This window comes from Homo sapiens, chromosome Y (assembly GCF_000001405.40).
Source record: "Homo sapiens chromosome Y, GRCh38.p14 Primary Assembly".
NCBI classification, from domain to species: domain Eukaryota; kingdom Metazoa; phylum Chordata; class Mammalia; order Primates; family Hominidae; genus Homo; species Homo sapiens.
Window position 1 is genome coordinate 26008857 of NC_000024.10, and position 20446 is coordinate 26029302.

Here is a 20446-nt window from a genome sequence, read left to right on the forward strand (position 1 = left end):
TTTGTTTTGTTCAGTTTTGAAAAAAATAATTATCTCATTGAAAACAACCAGAAGACAATTAGAAGTGTTTGTGCTCATCCACAAAATTAACTTCTGCTTTCTCTTTAGTATTTGCACGGTATCAGAGAGGTAGTCAAGATGATAACTGGCTTAAAGGAGAATGTTATTGACAAAATCGAATGACTGACTAGGAAAAAAAAAGTTATTCTCATTAGGTGAATAATTTGAGATGTAAAATAATCTCCCAGATTGTTTTCATCTCTACTCTAAAATAAATTGCATTTTAATGATTGAATCTTGAAGAGTTGGTAGAAGAAAGCATTATTCTTTTTCTACTATAAAAATCTCTTGAAGCAAAAATGTTCCTTCATTTTATGGGCTTCCAACAGATTTTAACGACCACTTGTAGTTTCACAAACAGGTCTCTTTCTTTAGGCCTAACCAGCTAATTTTATTTCTTTGCAATTTGACTAGGATATATAATGGTAAAATGTCTTTGAAGATATTATATATTAAATGACAGGTATGTCTTTCTTGACCTTCATAACATCTCACCTCCAAGCTGTCTGCATTATCTTGCACTTAGCTGCCATTTAAATTGTGGTTTATTTTTAACAGCATACTGCCTGCTATTTTCACCTCTGAGACTTGGAACAATTTCTTTTCACCCTGCCTGCCACTCTTAATTCACACCGTTTAAAGTATTATGTATAGGTTTTACCTTTTCATAAGACAGAGAGTCCAGCTTTGCCAACAGGGTGAAGCCCCATCTCTACTAAAAATATGAAAATTAGCCAGGCGTGGCGGCAGATGCCTGTAATACTAGCTACTGGGGAGGCTGGGACAGGTGAATCGCTTGAATCTGGGAGGTCTAGGTTGCAGTGAGCCTAGATCCTGCCATTGCACTGCATTCTAGGTGAAGAGAGTGAAACTGTCACACAAAAAGAAAGGACAGTGAGGATTAAATTTATTAATATGTGTGCAGCTCTTAGTGTATTACCTTGACTTTAAGCACTATAAGTATTAACTGCTATCATTATTGCTTACTTTGTATCTTCAGTTTACTCACACCAAATTCTGCTTAATTGCATAAAAGAAAATATTAGAGAAGTAACACAGATAGTAGTGGCTATATGGAACCACATAGCCATCACTCTCTGTGTCAGTAATGTTTTCTGATTTGCAACAAATAAGAGACCTTTTGCATATAAAGGTTCTGCAAACAGATTTCCCTAGACATATATTAAAGTGTTTGAAAACAAAAACAAAAAAATCAATACTATGGTAAAATGTAACAAATTTAAAGTCATTAGAGTAAAATATCTGTCTACATAGCATTTACATTTTATTAATTATTTATGTAGAGATAAAGTAAACTACACAGGAGGATGGGTGTGCATTATACTTATGTACTGCATCATTATAAAGCAGAAGCTTGAGCAGACATACATTTTGGTATTTGAGATGTTTCTGGAGCCAATCCCCTACAGATACCAAAGGATTGCTATATATAAATATGTTAAGCTTTGATAAGAAAGTATTGCTTAAGTTAGTTATGGCATAATTACCATGATGATGTTAATGATTATTTACTTACCTTTTTATAAATAAATTAAAAAGATTATAAGCTTTAAAATTATCATTACATTGTTTTTGATATTTGCTGGGGAAATGAGAACATTTGTACATGGGGACACATTCTCTGTTTATGGTATGGTAACACAATTAAGCACTTGCTATTTAAATAATTTCCTTTTTTTGTTTTGTTTTGCAATTACCTATGCTCCTGTCACCAATCTAGTAAGTGTGTGTGTCAGGGAGAAAATTACATTTATTTCTGGGATTGAGGACACTATTTTCTTGTTTATTTAAATCATGCTGAAGGGATGAGATTTTTGCAGCTGACACTGTGTAAGTTAGCAGTGTATATTTGATTTTCAATGGATACATTTCTCAGACTGGGAAGGAAGCACTTTTGGTCAGATTTTTTGTTGGTTGCTAGGAGACCAAAATCCTCTTGTGATGTCATTGCTACTCACCTTGGGAACATCGTGATGGTCTAGATTTCTTTACCTGCCTAGGCCTTCTGAAGCAGCATTTGAAGCCGCAGTCTTGAAAACCATGCAGGCTGGAAGAGTAGCTAAAGAAATGTTTATTTGAGATGGCACATGTTTCTTCAGAAATTCAAGATGTTTCTCCCAAAGATTAGTTAACTGGTTCAGAAGCCTCCAGTAGGTCTCCGTTGCGACAGAATTTTCATTTTTTTTTTTTTTTTGAGACGGAGTCTCGCTCTGTCGCCCAGGCTGGAGTGCAGTGGCGCGATCTCGGCTCACTGCAAGCTCCGCCTCCCGGGTTCACGCCATTCTCCTGCCTCAGCCTCCCAAGTAGCTGGGACTACAGGCGCCCGCCGCTACGCCCGGCTAATTTTTTGTATTTTTAGTAGAGACGGGGTTTCACCGTTTTAGCCGGGATGGTCTCGATCTCCTGACCTCGTGATCCACCCGCCTCGGCCTCCCAAAGTGCTGGGATTACAGGCGTGAGCCACCGCGCCCGGCCTTTTAAGAAATGTTTATTTGAGATGGCACATGTTTCTTCAGAAATTCAAGATGTTTCTCCCAAAGATTAGTTAACTGGTTCAGAAGCCTCCAGTAGGTCTCCGTTGCGACAGAATTTTCAAAGATCTGCCTTTCTAGCCACCTTTCTGGCAGAAGAGAAAGAATCCGATGCCTTAAGCAAAGCATTTAACATATTTCAGTTACCACTCTATGTAAAGTATGTATGTAATTTTACTTTGAACATCAGTAAATATGTTAATACATGCAACAAGACCAGATGTTGAAAATTATATAAAATATTAAGGTAGAAATTATTTATTTTTTTGAAATTATTGAGTTCAGCTTGAGCATCAACCTTTCAGAGTTTTCAGAAATGTTGCTAAAACTTTGAATCTTACCAGTGAACTCCAAATAAATGTATCAAAGCCACTTAATGTAATGTTGCTATTAATATATAACATGTTTTCACCTGAGGGCTTAACAATTTGAGTGCTTTTTTTTCCCAACAAGCACTTTCTTAAAAATAGCAAATAATGTTCATGAATTATTTGATGTCATTAAGTTTGTGTGACGAAAGAGAAATCTGATATTTTATGTGTTATGTTTGTTATTGTCACTTGTCTCCCGGTTTAAAATGGCACTGAATTACCTTTTTCTTTGGTTTTAGTTAAAGTTTTATTATAATCCAAATTTCAAACGTGGCTGTCCCCAGCATTTAGTAAGGGTGAAAAGAAGAATTGGTGTTAAAAATGCTTCACTTATACCTACTTTATTCAATGAAGATTTCAACAAGAAGCATTTTAGATCAGGAGCTAACATTAACAGTACACACTTTTGATCTTACATTAAAGGATTCCAACATGTTTGTGCCTTTCATTACCTCCTGTTAGAGTCCATGTTTCATGTTTTCTAATGCACATTTCCTTGCTTCTTCTTTTCTTTGAGATAGTCTTACTGTGTTACCCTGGCTGGAGAGCAGTGGCATTATTTCAGCTCACTGCAACCTCAGCCTCTGGGTTCAAGTAATTACTGTGCCTCAAACTTTTGAGTAGGTAAAATTATATATGCCCACCAAGCTGGGCTAATTTTTGTATTTTTCGTAGAAACGGAGTTTCACCAAATTGGCCAGGATGGTCTTGAATTCCTGGCCTCACGTGATCCACCCACCCTGGCCCCTAAAAGTGCTGGAATTACAAGGTTGAGCCACCAAACCCCTCCTCTAATACAGATGTTCATCACATTGGTTTCATCTATACAAAGTCAGATTTCATGGCTTTTGTCAGGATTTGATACCTTTTAGATTCTGAATCCATATCCTCAGCATGGCTGAACAAATCCCTTCCAGACCTAATATTTATTTTCCTGTCAGCTTCATGTCTTTCTGTTTCACCACAGTCCAGTTGGAGCAACATCTGGACAACTCCACTTTCAGCCATGCCCTTTCCTATCTTGTAACTTGGGCCCCATTTTTTCTTGGAGATAAATGCTCTCTCCCGATTTGCCTACTTAAGACTCCTACAACACAGACATCACTCCTTCCAGGAGGTGCTTCTTATCTGTCACATTAGTTTTCTTGTCTGTCTGTCTGTGTCTCCTGGACACCCAGCACTGATGTCACACAGTACCTAATACATATATGTACATTTTTGTATTTATATATACACACACACACACACACACACACACACACACACATATGTATGTGAATTTGTGAATGTTGACTGTGGACATACAACCATAAAATCTATTTTCATTGTCAAAAATGAACATTATTGGTGTTGTGGTATTACTTGTTATTCTTCATTACTCACCACAACTTTTCATAAAAGGGTAGGTCAGAGTTTTGTTCACTAGAGGTGCAATAATTTTGACTTACTGAGATTAACATCCCTGGTTATCATTTCAACTATCACGCTTTCTTTTTCGGTATAGGTATGTTTTTTTATATATGTATATATTTGTATATTTTTTGTATATGTATTTTTTATATTTGTATATGTTTTATATTTGTATATTTTTGTTTGTATATTTTTGTATATTTATTTGTATATGTTTGTTATATTTTACATTTTTGTAAAAAATTTATTTATATATTTATATTTATATATATTGTAAAAAATATTTATATATTTATATATTATATTATTCATATATTATATATTTGTATAATGTGTATATATTATTTACATATTTGTATATTTTATTTTTTTATATTTGTATATTTTTATATTTGTATATTTTTTGTATATTTATTTGCATATTTTTCTAAATATATTGTATATATTTTTATATATATTTGTATATTTTATTATACTTTAAGTTCTAGGTTACATGTGCACAACGTTCAGGTCTGTTACATATGTATACATGTGCCATGTTGGTGTGTTGCACCTGTTAACTCGTCATTTACATTAGATATATCTCCTAATGCTATACCTCCCCCACCATTCCACAACAGGCCCCAGTGTGTGATGTTCCCTTTCCTGTGTCCAAGTGTTCTCAATGTTCAATTCCCACCTATGAGTGACAACATGAGGTGTTTGGTTTTTTTGTCCTTGCAATAGTTCCCTGAGAAGGATGATTTCCAGCTTCATCCATGTCCCTACAAAGGACATGAACTCATCACTTTTTATAGCTGCATAGTATTCCATGGTGTGTATGTGCCACATTTTCTTAATCCAGTCTGTCATTCATGGACATTTTGGGTTGGTTCGAAGTCTTTGCTATTGTGAACAGTGCCACAGTGAATACACACGTGTGTGTGTTTTTATAAAAGCATGATTTATAATCCTTTGGGTATATACCCAGTAATGGGATGGCTGGGTGAAATGATATTTCTAGTTCTAGATCCTTGAGGAATCACCACACTGTCTTCCACATGGTTGAAGTAGTTTACACTCCCATCAATTATGTAAAACTGTTCCTATTTCTCCACATTCTCTTGAGCACCAGTTGTTTCCTGACTTTTTCATGATTGCTATTATAGCTGGTGTGAGATGGTACCTCATTGTGGTTTTGATTTGCATTTCTATGATGGCTAGTGATGACAAGCATTTTTTCATGTGTCTGTTGGCTGCATAAATGTCTTGTTTTGAGAAAGTCTCTGTTCATATCCTTCACCCACTTTTGGATGGGGTTGTTTGTTTTTTCCTTGTAAATTTGTTTGAGTTCTTTGTAGATTTTGGGTATTAGCCCTTTGTCAGATGAGTAGATTGCAAAAATGTTCTGCCAGTCGTGTAGGTTGCCTATTCGCTTTGCTGGTACTTTTTTTTTTTTTTTTTTTTTTGGTCTGCAGAAGCTCTTTAGTTTAATTAGGTCTCATTTGTATTTTGGCTTTTGTTGCCATGCTTTTTTTGTTTTTGACATGAAGTCCTTGCCCATGCCTACATCCTAATGGTATTGCCTAGGATTTCTTCCAGGGTTTTTATGGTTTTAGGTCTAACATTTAAGTCTTTAATACATCTTGAATTAATTTTTGTGTAAGGTGTAAGGAAGGGATCCAGTTTCAGCTTTCTGCATATGGCTATCCAGTTTTCCCAGCACCATTTATTAAATAGGGAATCCTTTCCTCATTTCTTGTTTTTGTCAGGTTTGGCAAAGATCAGATGGTTGTAGATATGTCGTATCATTTCTGAGGGCTCTGTTCTGCTCCATTGGTCTATATCTCTGTTTTGGTACCAGTACCATGCTGTTTTGATTACTGTAACTTTGTAGTATAGTTTGAAGTCAGATAGCGCAATGCCTCCATCTTTGTTCTTTTAGCTTAGGATTGACTTGGCAATGAGAGCTCTTTTTTGGTTCCATATGAACTTTAAAGTAGTTTTTTCCAATGCTGTGAAGAAAGTCATTGGTAGCTTGATGGGGATGGCATTGAATCTATAAATTACCTTGAGCAGTATGGCCATTTTCACAATATTGATTCTTCCTATCCATGAGCATGGAATAAACTTCCATTTGTATGTTTCCTCTTTTATTTTATTGAGCAGTGGTTTGTAGTTCTCCTTGAAGAGGTCCTTCACATCCCTTGTAAGTTGGATTCCTAGGTATTTTATTCTCTTTGAAGCAATTTTACATGGGAGTTCACTCATGATGTGGCTCTCTGTTTGTCTGTTATTGGTGTATAAGAATGCTTGTGATTTTTGCACATTGACTTTGTATCCTGAGACTTTGCTGAAGTTGCTTATCAGCTTAAGGAGATTTTGGGCTGAGATGATGGGGTTTTCTAGATATGCAATCATGTCATTTGCGAACAGGGACAATTTGACTTCAGCTTTTCCTAATTGAATACCATTTCTTTCTTTCTCTTGCCTGATAGCCCTGGTCAGAACTTCCAACAGTATGTTGAATAGGAGTGGTGAGAGAGGGCATCCCTGTCTTGTGCCAGTTTTCAAAGGGAATGCTTCCAGTTTTTGCCCATTCAGTATGATATTGGCAGTGGGTTTGTCATACATAGCTCTTATTATTTTGAGATACATCCCATGAACACCTAATTTATTGAGAGTTTTTAGCATGAAGGCTGTTGAATTTTGTCAAAGGCCTTTTCTGCATCTATTGAGACAATCATGTGGTTTTTGTCTTTTTTTCTGTTTATATGCTGGATTGCATTTATTGATTTGTGTACATTGAACCAGCCTTGCATCCCAGGGATGAAACCAGCTTGGTCATGGTGGATAAGGTTTTTGATGTGTTTCTGGATTTAGTTTGTCAGTATTTTATTGAGGATTTTTGCATCAATGTTCATGTGGGATATTGGTCTAAAATTCTCTTTTTTTGTGTGTCTTTGCCAGGCTTTGGTATCAGGATGATGCTGGCTGCATACAATGAGCTAGAGAGGATTCCCTCTTTTTCTGTGGATTGGAACAGTTTCAGATGGAATGGTACCAGCTCCTCCTTGTACCTCTTGTAGAATTCGGTCGTGAATCCATCTGGTCCTGCACTTTTTTTGGTTGGTAAGCTACTAATTATTGCCTCAATTTCAGAGCCTGCTATTGGTCTATTCAGAGGTTCAACTTCTTCCTGGTTTAGTCTTGGGAGGATGTGTGTGTCAAGGAATTTATCCATTTCTTCTAGATTTTCTAGTTTATTTGCATAGAGGTGTTTATAGTATTCTATGATGGTAGTTTGTACTTCTGTGAGATCAGTGGTGATATCCCCTTTATCATTCTTTATTGCGTTTATTTGATTCTTCTCTCTTTTCTTCTTTGTTAGTCTTGGTAGCGGTCTATCAATTTTGTTGATCTTTTCCAAAAACCAGCTCCTGGATTCATTGATTTTTTGAAGGGTTTTTGGGTCTCAATTTCCTTCAGTTCTGCTCTGATATTAGTTATTTCTTGCCTTCTGCTAGCTTTTGAATATGTTTCCTCATGCTTCTCTAGTTCTTTTAATTGTGATGTTAGGGTGTGAATTTTGGATCTTTCCTGCTTTCTCTTGTGGGCATTTAGTGCTATAAATTTCCCTCTACACACTGTTTTAAATGTGTCGCAGAGATTCTGGTATGTTGTGTCTTTCTTCTCATTGGTTTCAAAGAACATCTTTATTTGTGCCTTCATTTTGTTATGTACCCAAGTAGTCATTCAGGAGCATGATGTTCAGTTTCCATGTAGTTGAGTGGTTTTGAGTGAGTTTCTTAATCCTAAGTTCTAGTTTGATTGCACCATGGTCTGACAGACAGTTTGCTATAATGTCTGTTCTTCTACATTTGCTGAGGAGTGCTTTACTTCCAACTATGTGGTCAATTTTGGAATAAGTGAGATGTGGTGCTGAGAGGAATGTATATTATGTTGATTTGTGGTGGAGAGTTCTGTAGATGTCTATTAGGTCTGCTTGGTGCAGAGCTGAGTTCAATTCCTGGATGTCATTGTTAACTTTCTGTCTCATTGATCTGTCTAATGTAGACAGTGGGGTGTTAAAGCCTCCCATTATTATTCTGTGGGAGTCCAAGTCTCTTTGTAGGTCTCTAAGAACTTGCTTTATGAATTTGGGTGCTCCTGTATTGGGCGCATATATATTTAGGATAGTTAGCTCTTCTTGTTGTATTTATCCCTTTACCATTATGTAATGGCCTTCTTTTTCTCTTTTGTTCTTGTTGGTTTAAAGCCTGTTTTATCAGAGACTAGGATTGCAACCGCTGCCTCTTTTTGTTTTCCATTTGCTTGGTAGATCTTCCTCCATCCCTTTATTTTAAGCCTATGTGTGTCTCTGCATGTGAGATGGGTTTCCTGAATACAGCACACTGATGGATCTTGATTCTTTATCCGATTTGCCAGTCTGCATCTTTTAATTGGAGCATTTGGCCCATTTATATTTAAGGTTAATGGTGTTATGTGTGAATTTGATCCTGTCATTATGATATTAGCTGGTTATTTTGCTCGTTAGTTGATGCAGTTTCTTCCTAGCATTGATGGTCTTTAAAATTTGGCACATTTTTACAGTGGCTGGTACCAGTTTTTCCTTTCCATGTTTAGTGCTTCCTTCAGGAGCTCTTGTAGGGCAGGCCTTGTTGTGACAAAATCTCTCAGCATTTGCTTGTCTGTAAAGGATTTTTTTTTCTTCTTCACTTATGAAGCTTAGTGTGGCTCGATATGAAATTCTGGGTTGAAAAATATTTTCTTTATGAATGTTAAATATTGGCCCCCACTCTCTTCTGGCTTTCAGAGTTTCTTTTGAGAGATCCACTGTTAGTCTAACGGGGTTCCCTTTGTGGGTAACCCGACCTTTCTCCCTGGCTGCCCTTAACATTTTTTCCTTCTTTTCAACTTTGGTGAATCTGAAAATTTTGTGTCTTGCAGTTGCTCTTCTCGAGGAATATCTTTGTTGCATTATCTGTATTTAATGAATTTGAAAGTTGGCCTGCCTTTCTAAGTTGGGGAAGTTCTCCTGGATAATATCCTGCAGAGTGTTTTCCAATTTGGTTCCATTCTCAACTTCACTTTCAGGTACACCAATCAGACGTAGATTTGGTCTTTTCACATAGTCCCATATTTCTTGGAGGCTTTGTTCATTTCTTTTTATTCATTTTTTCTCTAAACTTCTCTTCTCACTTCATTTCATTCATTTTATCTTCAATCTCTGATACCCTTTCTTCCAGTTGATTGGATTAGTTAATGAAGCTTGTGCATTCATCATGTAGTTCTCGTGCCATGGTTTTCACCTCCCTCAGGTTATTTAAGGACTTCTGCACATTGGTTATTCTAATTAGCCATTCAGCTAAACTTTTTTCAAGGTTTTTAGCTTCTTTGTGATGGGTTTGAACTTCCTCCTTTATCTTGGAGAAGTTTGATTGTCTGAAGCCTTCTTCTCTCAACTCATCAAAGTCATTGTCCGTCCAGCTTTGTTCCATTGCTGCTGAGGAGTTGTGTTCCTTTGGCGAGTGAGAGGTGCCCTGATTTTTAGAATTTTCAGGTTTTCTGCTCTGTTTTTTCCCCATCTTTGTGGTTTCATCTTCCTTTGGTCTTTCATGATGGTGATGTACAAATGGGGTTTTGGTATGGATGTCCTTTCTGTTTGTTAGTTTTCCTTCTAACAATCAGGACCCTCAGCTGCACATCTGCTGGAGTTTGCTGGAGGTCCACTCCAGACCCTGTTTGCCTGGTTATCAGCAGTGGAGGCTGCAAAACAGTGAATATTGCTGAACAGCAAATGTTGCTGCCTGATCATTCCTCTGAAAGTTTCATCTCAGATAGGTACCCAGCCATGTGAGGTGTCAGTCTGCCCCTACTGGGGCATGCCTCCCAGTTAGGTTACTTGGGGGTCAGGGACCCATGTGAGGAGGCACTCTGTCTGTTGTCAGATCTGAAACTTCGTGCTGGGAGAACCACTACTCTCTTGAAAGCTGTCTGACAGGGACATTTAAGTCTGCAGAGGTTTCTGCTGCCTTTTGTTTGGCTATGTCCTGCCTCCAGATGTGGAGTCTGTAGAAGCAGGCAGGCCTCCTTGAGCTGGGGTGGGCTCCACCCAGTTCGAGCTTCCTGTCCACTCTGTTTACCTACTCAGGCCTCAGCAATGGTGGGTGCCATTCCCCCAGCCTCACTGCCACCTTGCAGGTGGATCTCCAACTGCTGTGCTAGCAATGAGTGAGGCTCTGTGGGCATGGGATCCTCCGAGCCATGTGTGGGATCTAATCTCCTGGTGTCCTGTTTGCTAAGACCATTGGAAAAGTGCAGTATTAGGGTGAGAGTGACCTGATTTTCCAGGTGCCATCTGTCACAGCTTTCCTTGGCTAGGAAAGGGAATTCCCTGACCCCTTGTGCTTCCTGGGTGAGGTGATGCCTTGCCCTGCTTTGGCTCATGCTCAGTGCGCTGAACCCACTGTCCTGCACCCACTGTCTGACAAGTCCCAGTGATGTGAACCCCGTACCTCAGTGGGAAATGCAGAAATTACCCATCGTCTGCATCAGTCTTACTGGGAGATGTAGATTGGAGCTGTTCCTATTCCACCATTTTGGAAAAAAAGGTCTGGTTGTGATTTTTCCCAGCTTCTTCTAAAAATTATTTTTCATCTTCTGCTTTGACTGGCAGGTCCTTGCCTGAAAGAATAGCTTTATCTTTGCCACTCCTTCCTTTATTTGCTGTAGAGATTCTCAGTTGTTGTGCTGAAATGGCTTACACTGGGGATCCAGCTGCACAATTGTTCAGAAGGAGCATTCACTGTGGATTTGGTATATTATGCAACATTTGGTGTCACCAGCTAAGGCCTGACAAGATTCATCACTCAGTTTTCTGGGACAACTGAAATTGGAATGGAGTATGGATTTGGTCAGACAGATTCCTCAGTATGGAAACCTAGTGGTGCCATCTTACCCTATGCCTATATTTTCAGATTGTGCATAAGTAGAAGAAATTTAGAATCAATGCTATAAAAAGGGAATCCTGATTTCCTTTCCTGGCAGAGCATGACACAAGACAAAGATCATTTCACCTATGTCCACATACTATTAACTTTTTAGTTCTCACGCTGGATTTTCAGAGGGTAGTGCGATGGACATGGTTAAATAGTTAATATGAAGAATGTTTAAAAAAATTAGGCCAGTGGTGATGGCTCAGGCCTGTAATCTCAGCATTTTGGGAGGCTAAGATGGGTAGAACACCTGAGGTCAGTGGTTCAAGGCCAACATGGTGCAACCATATCTTTTCTAAAAAATCAACAATTGTGAAGCCTGGTGATGTGTGCCTGTAATCCAAGCTAGTTAGGAGGCTGAGGCAGGAGAATCACTTGAGCCTGGGAGGTGGAGGTTGCAGTGAGCTGAGATCCTGCCTTTGCACTCCAGCCTGTGTGATAGAGTAAGACTTCATCTCAAAAGAATGGACAACAATAAAATGGATAATGCCAAATAAATAAAAAGTGAAAAGATTAACTTGGGTGAACCCCAAGACAACAAAGAAAAAAGAAAATGATATTTTAGAAAGTGAGGATAAAGTAATGAAAGATGGACTGAGACAGATTAAAATGAGGAATACATTATTGTAAATTTAAGGCCAGAATAATGCAAGTGTCAAAAAAACAACAAAAGCAACAATAAAACAAGCACAGGGAGGGGTAGAGAGAGGGTGAATGAGGAAAAAGAGAAAGCAAATGCAAAATGTAAAGTAATCAGCATGATTAGAATATCTGTTCATTCCCACTCTCTGCAAATTCTTTGTATTTTGAGGAACATCCTGACAAGATTTTAATGTAATCAATCACGGAGTAGTCTAACCCAGAAAATATCCTAGCTTCCTCTAGGATTCAAAGACCTTGTACCTTCTTAGGTATTCTCTCTCCATCTAGGTTAAACTAAACTGTTTCAACAACAAAAACTACTTTGAATTTTCTGCCCAAAAGGAACATCACGGACGTTCTTCATCTTGGGTCATCACTTGAGTAATGAAGTAGATGGAGCAAATGTACTTTCCCCCTTACATAAATACAATTAATAGCACCACATAATGTATATAAAGCAAACATAAGACTGAAGGATGGAGCAAGAAGATAAACGGGTGAGGAAATTTAAGATGCAACAAGTGATAAGATGGTTGAGTTTCCTGGATTCTTTTTGCCTGGTGTTATCACAGACTTGATCCTAATGGAGCTGGTACCCAAAAATGTAAATAAGTACAGGCAAAAAGTTCTCCCAAAACCCAACTTCTATAGCCACATGGCTAGGAAAGGGACACCTTACAAAGAGAAAAATATTTTTACAATAGCCTTCCTACTTTAGTCAAACATTACAACAGAAAACAAAGCAAACCAAAAAAGCTAGCCAGGACAACAATGTTTAAGTTGAAACATAGAGAGCACCAGGCAGTAATGAGGCACCCCAACCCTCTGCTGGAGTGGAATCACATAAGGGAAAGTAGAGAGTTAGAGTTTTCAATGCTGCCATATGGGGACACCCTTCTGCTTCTAGCCAGGGAGGTACAAGTAACACCCAGGTTGAAGCTGGAATCTGCATATTTTTTTATCAGTAGCTAGAAGGGCTGCCTTGGATGTCAAAGGAAGTGAAGAAGAGAATTTGGAATTGTGCCCTTCCTTTACAAGCATACACTTTCCTTTGTTATGGTGGTATCAGACAAAGCCAGCTACAAATGAACAAATAGGATGTCATAATATGGTTCAGAGTTTCCTAACATTTCCTCAAATGTTTAACTTTCAAATAAAAATCTCACACAGAAATGTTAGTGCTACTGTTAAAGGATCACTATGGTGTCAGTTTTTCTTGCCAGAAACTTCTGTGGCCATGATGCCTTTGCTTGACTTCTTGTCCTGTTTGCAGGAAGAATGAGGTACACAGACAGGTGAAGGGTAAAGAAGAAGCAGAGTTCTATTTGGCATTAAAACGGTTCAAAGTGTTGGGATTCCTTCAGTACGGTGGCAGAAATATGAAATGGAAATATTATGGAAAGGTATAGGGAATAGTCACAAACTTTTTGGAAGGCCGAAAGATTACATAGCTTGTAATAATTGAACAATTATTCAATTGGAGGGAGGTCGACCAAGGATATTGCCCCATACTGTAATTTACTTTAGACCACGGTACCTGAGCTTTAATCATTCATAGGTCTACTCTCTCAGCCAGGTTAATTATCCACAAGTGTGCTGACTCAAAGCTTCTGTTGTTAATTGTATACTAAATAAATGCCTGGAGTGCGAGCTGCTCAGGGCCGGCCTCAGTAACAAACTTTTCTTGTCATGCAGGTGCTCAGACATTCAGCTAGACTGGCAAAACAGAGTATCTATGTGCTAGTGTGTGGTTTATCCATCTGCAATTTGGGTCAGGGTCTGCGGGCAGACCCCTGAAGCTAGTGCCCTCTTGTGAGGAGCAATACCTCACAAAGGAGTGGGTAGCTCTCCTCTATAGGCAGGTCTTCCTATGGTGTGTTCACTCTAGAGAGAGAGGCTCCTCTCTGTCGGCAAGTCATTTAGATGTCTCTGCAGGTCTGTGAAGCTCTCTGTTGCAGCTGCTGCTCTCAGCGGAGAGGGTACTGCTCTCCTCCCGTTGTCTACAGCAATCAGCAAGAAGGGTACTCCTTTCTTTAGCAGACTGGCTTTTGAATGTCTTCATAAGATCCTTCACAGAGCAGCAGTTTTTAATTTTGATTTGATACAGTTAATCTTTTTTTTTACTTTTATGGCTTATGCATTTGGTATCAAATATAATAACATTTTGCTACAACTAAGAAGCTTGAATTTTTTTACGTTCTTTTTTTCTGAAAACGTTTTATAAAATGTGTTGTAATTTTATATTACATTGAAATTCATGAGACATTTTGAGTTAATTTCTGTAGTATAAGATTTATGTTATGGCTTTATTTCTTAAATTTATAAATATCCACGTGCCCTGGCACCATTTGTTTAAAGGCTGTTTTTCCTCCACTGATTTCTGCTTGCCAGATTTGTGTCATATCACTTGGTCATATCCACACCAGTGTGGCTCTATTCCTGGGCCTTCTCTTCTGCTCCATTTTTATATGAATCTATTTCTATGCCAATACCAAACTGTTATGTTCATTTTAGCTGTGTAATAAGTCTTAGAAATGTTGATGAATTTCTCCCACTATATACTTGTATACTCATAATTGTCTTAGCTATCATGGTGAGTAAGTTTGCTTTGTCTGCAAAAATTCTTGCTGAGATACTGATAGGAATTTCACCAAATATATAGATCAAGCTGGGGAAAATTAACAGGATATATTGTCTTCATATCCATGAACACAGTGTATCTCTCATTATCTCTATTTGATTTCTTTCACCAGTGTTTTACATGTTTCAGCACATAGATCTCATACATGTTTTCTTTTGTTTAAATGCATATCAAAACATTTGATGTTCTTTGGAGCAGTTGTAGATCATACAGTTGCTAATTTGGGGTCCTGTTGACCTGCAGTGTGGGAAAATAGCAGAGTGCTAATTAGTTTGGATTTACTTCAGTTGTTCAGTTCCTAGGAGGGTGGGTGGTGGTAGATGGTTAACTCTCCACTAAAGCCCACTGACAGGATAGAATAGAGGAGGGTGGTGCGGAGACAGTCAAACCACACAGTGCAATCAGTCCTAATCAGCTCTAGCCCTTTAAAAATTGTTGTTGTTGAGTCAACCTAGATGATCAGCTTGCTACCAGAGACTCCTGACATAAGGGAATTGGAATGCTCTCCTCTGCTTTCTCCGGGAGGGTGATAGAAGATTCCCTCTGGCCAGATGTGGTGGCTCACGCCTGTAATCTCAGCATTCTGGGAGGACGAGGCAGGTGGATCACCTGAGGTCAGGAGTTCAAAACCAGGCTAACATGGAGAAACCCCGACTCTACAAAAAATGGAAAATTAGCTCAGTGTGGAGGCACATTCCTGTTATCTCAGCTAGTCAGGGAGCTGAGGCAGGAGAATTGCTTCAACCCAGGAGGTGAAGCTTGCAGTGAACTGAGATTGCATACCATCGCACTCCAGCCTGGTCAACAAAAAAGAAACTCCAGCTCAAAAAAAAAAAAAAATTGCTGCCTACTTTGACTTTATGGAGAATCAAGCATTACTGCCCCGTGAGAAGATTGTCTTTGTATATGGCTCCACACAAATGGCAATACTAGCTTTTTTTTTTTTTTTTCTCGTAGCGTTTGTCTGGAATAGCTTGGTTATTACCCCTAGAAATGTTTTGTGTGATTGTGTATGGTTAGGCCATCCTCTCCTGGTCCTTTGGCTGAGAGAGAACAGGATTTGCTTGAAGTCCTTTTTATCTGTGCCTATTGGAGATTCTGTGTTGGAAGCTTCTACAGTCCATCATCTGTGATATATGGAAGAAAATAGGAAAACCCAGAAAAGTGACAATGTTATCAATCTTTAAGTCCTAAAGTCCCTAGACAAACTGCCTTCCTCTTTCTGCCTTTCAGAGCCTGTCCTTGTTTTTTTCTCGTTATATCCATGGTGTTTTAGTTGTTTAGAGGAAACACTGGGCTGTTGCATCGTAACTGGAAATCCTAGGAAGTGAATGGTTGAGAACGGCTTTGAAAGTTCCATGCAAACCAAATCTCATAACGCAAAACATGGGAAGATATGATTATAGAGAATGACATGATATGATTTACCTACAATAAAGTGGTTTTATAAAATAAAGTCTTCACCAAAATTAAATATTCTTAGAGAAGTCTGCTGAGATCAGCTAGGTCGTGAAGACCTTAACCCAGTGGCACTAGAGGAATTAAAGACACACACACAGAAATCTAAAGTGCAGAGTGGGATCAGTGGGCTGACAGCCTTCAGAGCTGACAGCCATGAACAGAGTTTTACCCACATATTTCTTGACAGCAAGCCAGAGATCAGCGTTGTTTCTATAGATTATAGATTCAGTAAAATGGAAGACAAAGGGAGGGGTTCTCGTTAGTTATCTGCAGCAGGAACATGTCGTTGAGGCACAGATCACCCATGATATTATTTGTGGTTCAAGAACACCTTAAGTGGTTTTCTGCCCTGGGTGGGCCAGGTGTTCCTTGCCCACATTCTGGTAAACCCACAACCTTCAGTGTAGACGTCATATCTATTTTGAGCATGTCATAGTGCTTCAGAGATTTTGCTTATGGCCAGTTTTGGGGCCTGTCGATGGCCAAATTTGGGGGCCTTTTCCCAACATGTCTTCTTTTTTTGTTTTTCTAAGACAATAAAAGCAAATGCAGCTTTACTACTCTGAGCTACTTCTCGCAGGAGTCGGGATCTGCATCTGCAGACTATACAAAGACAAACAACAGAGGCTAAAAGCACAATCATCATTAAAATCACAGAACCTCCAAGAGTTCTTATCCATTTTATTGGATTAGTAGCTGCTAATCCATCTGCAGCTCCTTCAAGTACCCCTGTTCCTGGCATTAAGGTTAAGTGTGCCTGGGATACTTCAAATAATTGTTATTTTAATTTACAATATCCAAAGACATGTTCATAGAGTGTCCTTCTAGATGCTTTTTTATTCTTTCTCAAATGTTTATACTACGAAGAGCCATTAATAGGTTCCACAAATCCTTATTTTTAGCTCCTAGAGCGAGCCATATCATTTGAGGTTGAGGTGCCATTATACCGCCATGTTTCCAGAGGAACTCTTGCGGTACTTCTTACCATTTTTACCATCTGATGGCTTTGTTCAGACCAGCTGAACATAATGTGGCTGTGGCACATAGACTGAGAGTTGCAATTTAAGGTAAACATCCCCTTAGGGGGCCAAACAATAAGGATTCCCTAGGAATTGTTACACAGCACCTCAGTCTGTTCTGCAATGCAATTTTCCCAAACAAGTACATTCATTTTCTCTGGCCACGTCCAGCTCTGTTTACAAACAGGTTTTTAAGGGTGGTATGCCTCAATTATAGGAGCAGATTTATTATGAAATATACTGAGACCAGAAAGCATGTGTGTCAGCATGGACAGGACTGTGTCAGTTCTGTTAAAGAAATACTCATGGCAATGGTGATCACCGCTTTGATAGCTATCATTAAATTACTCACTGGGACTGGTTGTCCCACCTCAGATTTTCTCTCACCATCTGTGACAGCTTCTTGATCTGTCCTCAGGTGGGTGGCTGCTTTTGATGGGTGTTGCTCATGATATTTGGGGTCCTCCTCAGGGTCAACTTAGACAAGACTGCCACCGATGTGTCTTTGGAATCCTCTCAAAACCACTTTCTTGGTATCTGGCTCATAGCAGGGCTTTAGATGTCTCAATGGCATGCACATTGGCAGTTGATTTGGTACTGGAGAAACACAAGCATAACCTCCACTCGATGTTATTATTTTACCTATTTCCCAACTTTCCATTATTGGATCTCTCAACCAAACCAGTTTTTCTGCTTCTATCTTTGCAGCTGGCTTCTGTAGATGCTGTTTGGCTGCAGATAGCATCTGGTCCTAGACAAGCTCAAAAAATTTAGAGTAAATCATGCTAGATTCAATTTCATATGTGGCATCCCACAGTCCCTGTTTCCACCTTTTGCTTTTGCAACTGTTGTTTAAGGAAGAGATTCATTCTTTCCACTATGGCTTGTCCTTGAAAATTATATGAGATACCAGTAATGTGTTTAATATTCCATATAGAGAAAAATGTAGCTAGAACTTGGCTACTATAGCCTGGGTCACTGTCCTTTTTAAAGAAGCTGGAATGCCCATCACCACAAAACACTGCAAAAGGTGACATTTAACACAGGCAGAAGACTCTCTTGATTGGCAAGTAGCTCAGACAAAGTGAGAAAATGTGTCCACACATACATGTATATAAGCTAGTCTCCCAAACAAGGGAAAATGTGTGACATTCATTTGCCAAAGAGAATTAGGTCCCAATCCTCGAGGATTAACTCCTCCTGTAAAAGATGAGGAATGCACCATTTGGCAAGTTGGGTATCGCTGGATAATAGCTTTCACTTCTTTCCAGATAATGCTGTACTGTGTTTGAGACCAAAAACATTAACATGGGTTGAATTGTGAAAGTGTCTGGCATTAGATATTGTAGTAGCAACTGGCGGATCAGCCATTTGATTCCCTGCAGTCAAATGTCCTGGAGGAGGTTTATGAGCTCTAATATGAGTAATGCAAAAAGGGTTCATTCTACTTCTAGCTGCTGTGTGTAATTGGGTAAATAAAGTCATCAGTTGCTCATCTGTGTGGAATCATAGCTGAGCATTTTCAAGTAACTGTGTAGAATGAACCACATATGAAGAATCAGAAATCACATTTATAGGCATACTAAAACAAGTCCATACCTCAATTACAGCTGCAAACTCCACCTTTTGAGATGAAATATAGGGCATTTCCTGAGCTGGAAATGCCCTGGTTTAGAAAGCGGACTGGGACGGCCCCTCCTGGCATTTCCCAAAATCAGGTTTCCATCTTTATCAAACTTAGAGTGACACTGATTATCCGAGTAATTTTCTTTTTGCATTTTGGACATATTCCAGGCTCAGCAGTTTTCCTTTTATCCCTCAACTTGTGGCCTGACTCACTGATTTTTTTCACATTCTTTTCCAGTGTGACCATGCTTCCCACAGTTAAAACAAGCTCCAGGAAATGGAGTATTTCCTTTACCCACTTTCAGTCCTGTCATGGCTTGCACCACCAAAGTAGCTTTATGCAGATTACCTCTGATACCATCACAGGCCTTGATATAGTCAATTAAATGTGCTTTCCCTCTAATAGGTCACAGAGCCACCTGGAAATATGGATTTTCATTGTCGAAAGCTCATAACTGCAACACTATATCCTCAGCAGCTAAATCTGCAGTCATTTTTTAAGAGACTCTTATAACCAAGCTATAAAATCTGCATATGGTTCTTTTGGTCCCTGTTTTATAGCACTAAAGGAAAGATATTGTTCTCCTCCTGAAGTTATTTTTCCAAACTCTAATGCATACTCCTCTAAGCTGTTCTATGGCATCACCCAGCATGACCACTTGTGCATCCAAACCAACGCAGCTGCCTACCCCCAAAAGATGGTCTGTAGTTATATTAATTTGAGGTTGGGCCTGCGCATTGTGAGAAGGCTGAAAAAAGCTTCTTCTCCTCACCAAGTTTTAAACTGTAAAAAGTGAGCGAGAGTCAGGCAAGCTCACGTAAGAGCATCCCATTCAGTAGGAATCATCTGACTGGGGACAGCAACATTCTTTAACAGTACCATTACCAAAGAAGAACCTGGTCCATATTGATTAATAGCTGGTTTAAATTCTTTGAGTAATTTAAAAGGAAAAGGCTCAAAAGTAGTGATAATATTTCCCTGTTGACCTGGGGCATGTATCCTAACAGGGAGCTGCCAAGCCTCTATATCACCCTCTCGTCTAGGTTGCTGAATTCCTGCCTGAATAGAACGAAGAGCAATTGCTCATGGCACTGCTTGAACAATCATGGGGCAACTAGTTTTTGGTCAGTGGGTTCCAGAAAAGAAAGATCTACAGGGTCAGACCACTCTTTTTCTTCAAAATAGTGAGGGAGTGAAGAAGGGCAGAGACAAACCTCTCTCTCCTTTGCCACTTTAGCTTTAGCTGGCAAACAAACCTGTTCTGTCACCTCTTCTGTTACTTTGCTATACTCTCCTTCCTCCTAATCATCAATGTGAAAATGTTCCAAGGTGGAACAAACCAGAACCTGGACTTGTCCCATTGTTAACCTGATGCTTCCAAACTCCCCTTCTAACTCACTATGGCGATTGCTTAAGAGTAGCCAGATGTCCTCCAGTGTAGTCCTACATTCTCCAACCATTGCTCCTGTGACCTTTGACCTGGATTTGAGACCCCGTATAGTCACCACTTGCCGAGGCCAGCTCGGTCATGGAAACCATAACCCAATGGCACTAGCGGCATTAAAGACACACACACACACACACACACACAAATATAGTGTGCACAGTGAGAATCAGGGGGCTAACAGCCTTCAGAGCTGAGAGCCATAAACAGAGTTTAACACA

General features: G+C 39.1%; 1 pseudogene; it reads left to right on the top strand.

Moving 5' to 3' along the window:
• HSFY8P (heat shock transcription factor Y-linked 8, pseudogene) lies at positions 2579-3381 on the top strand (annotated as a pseudogene).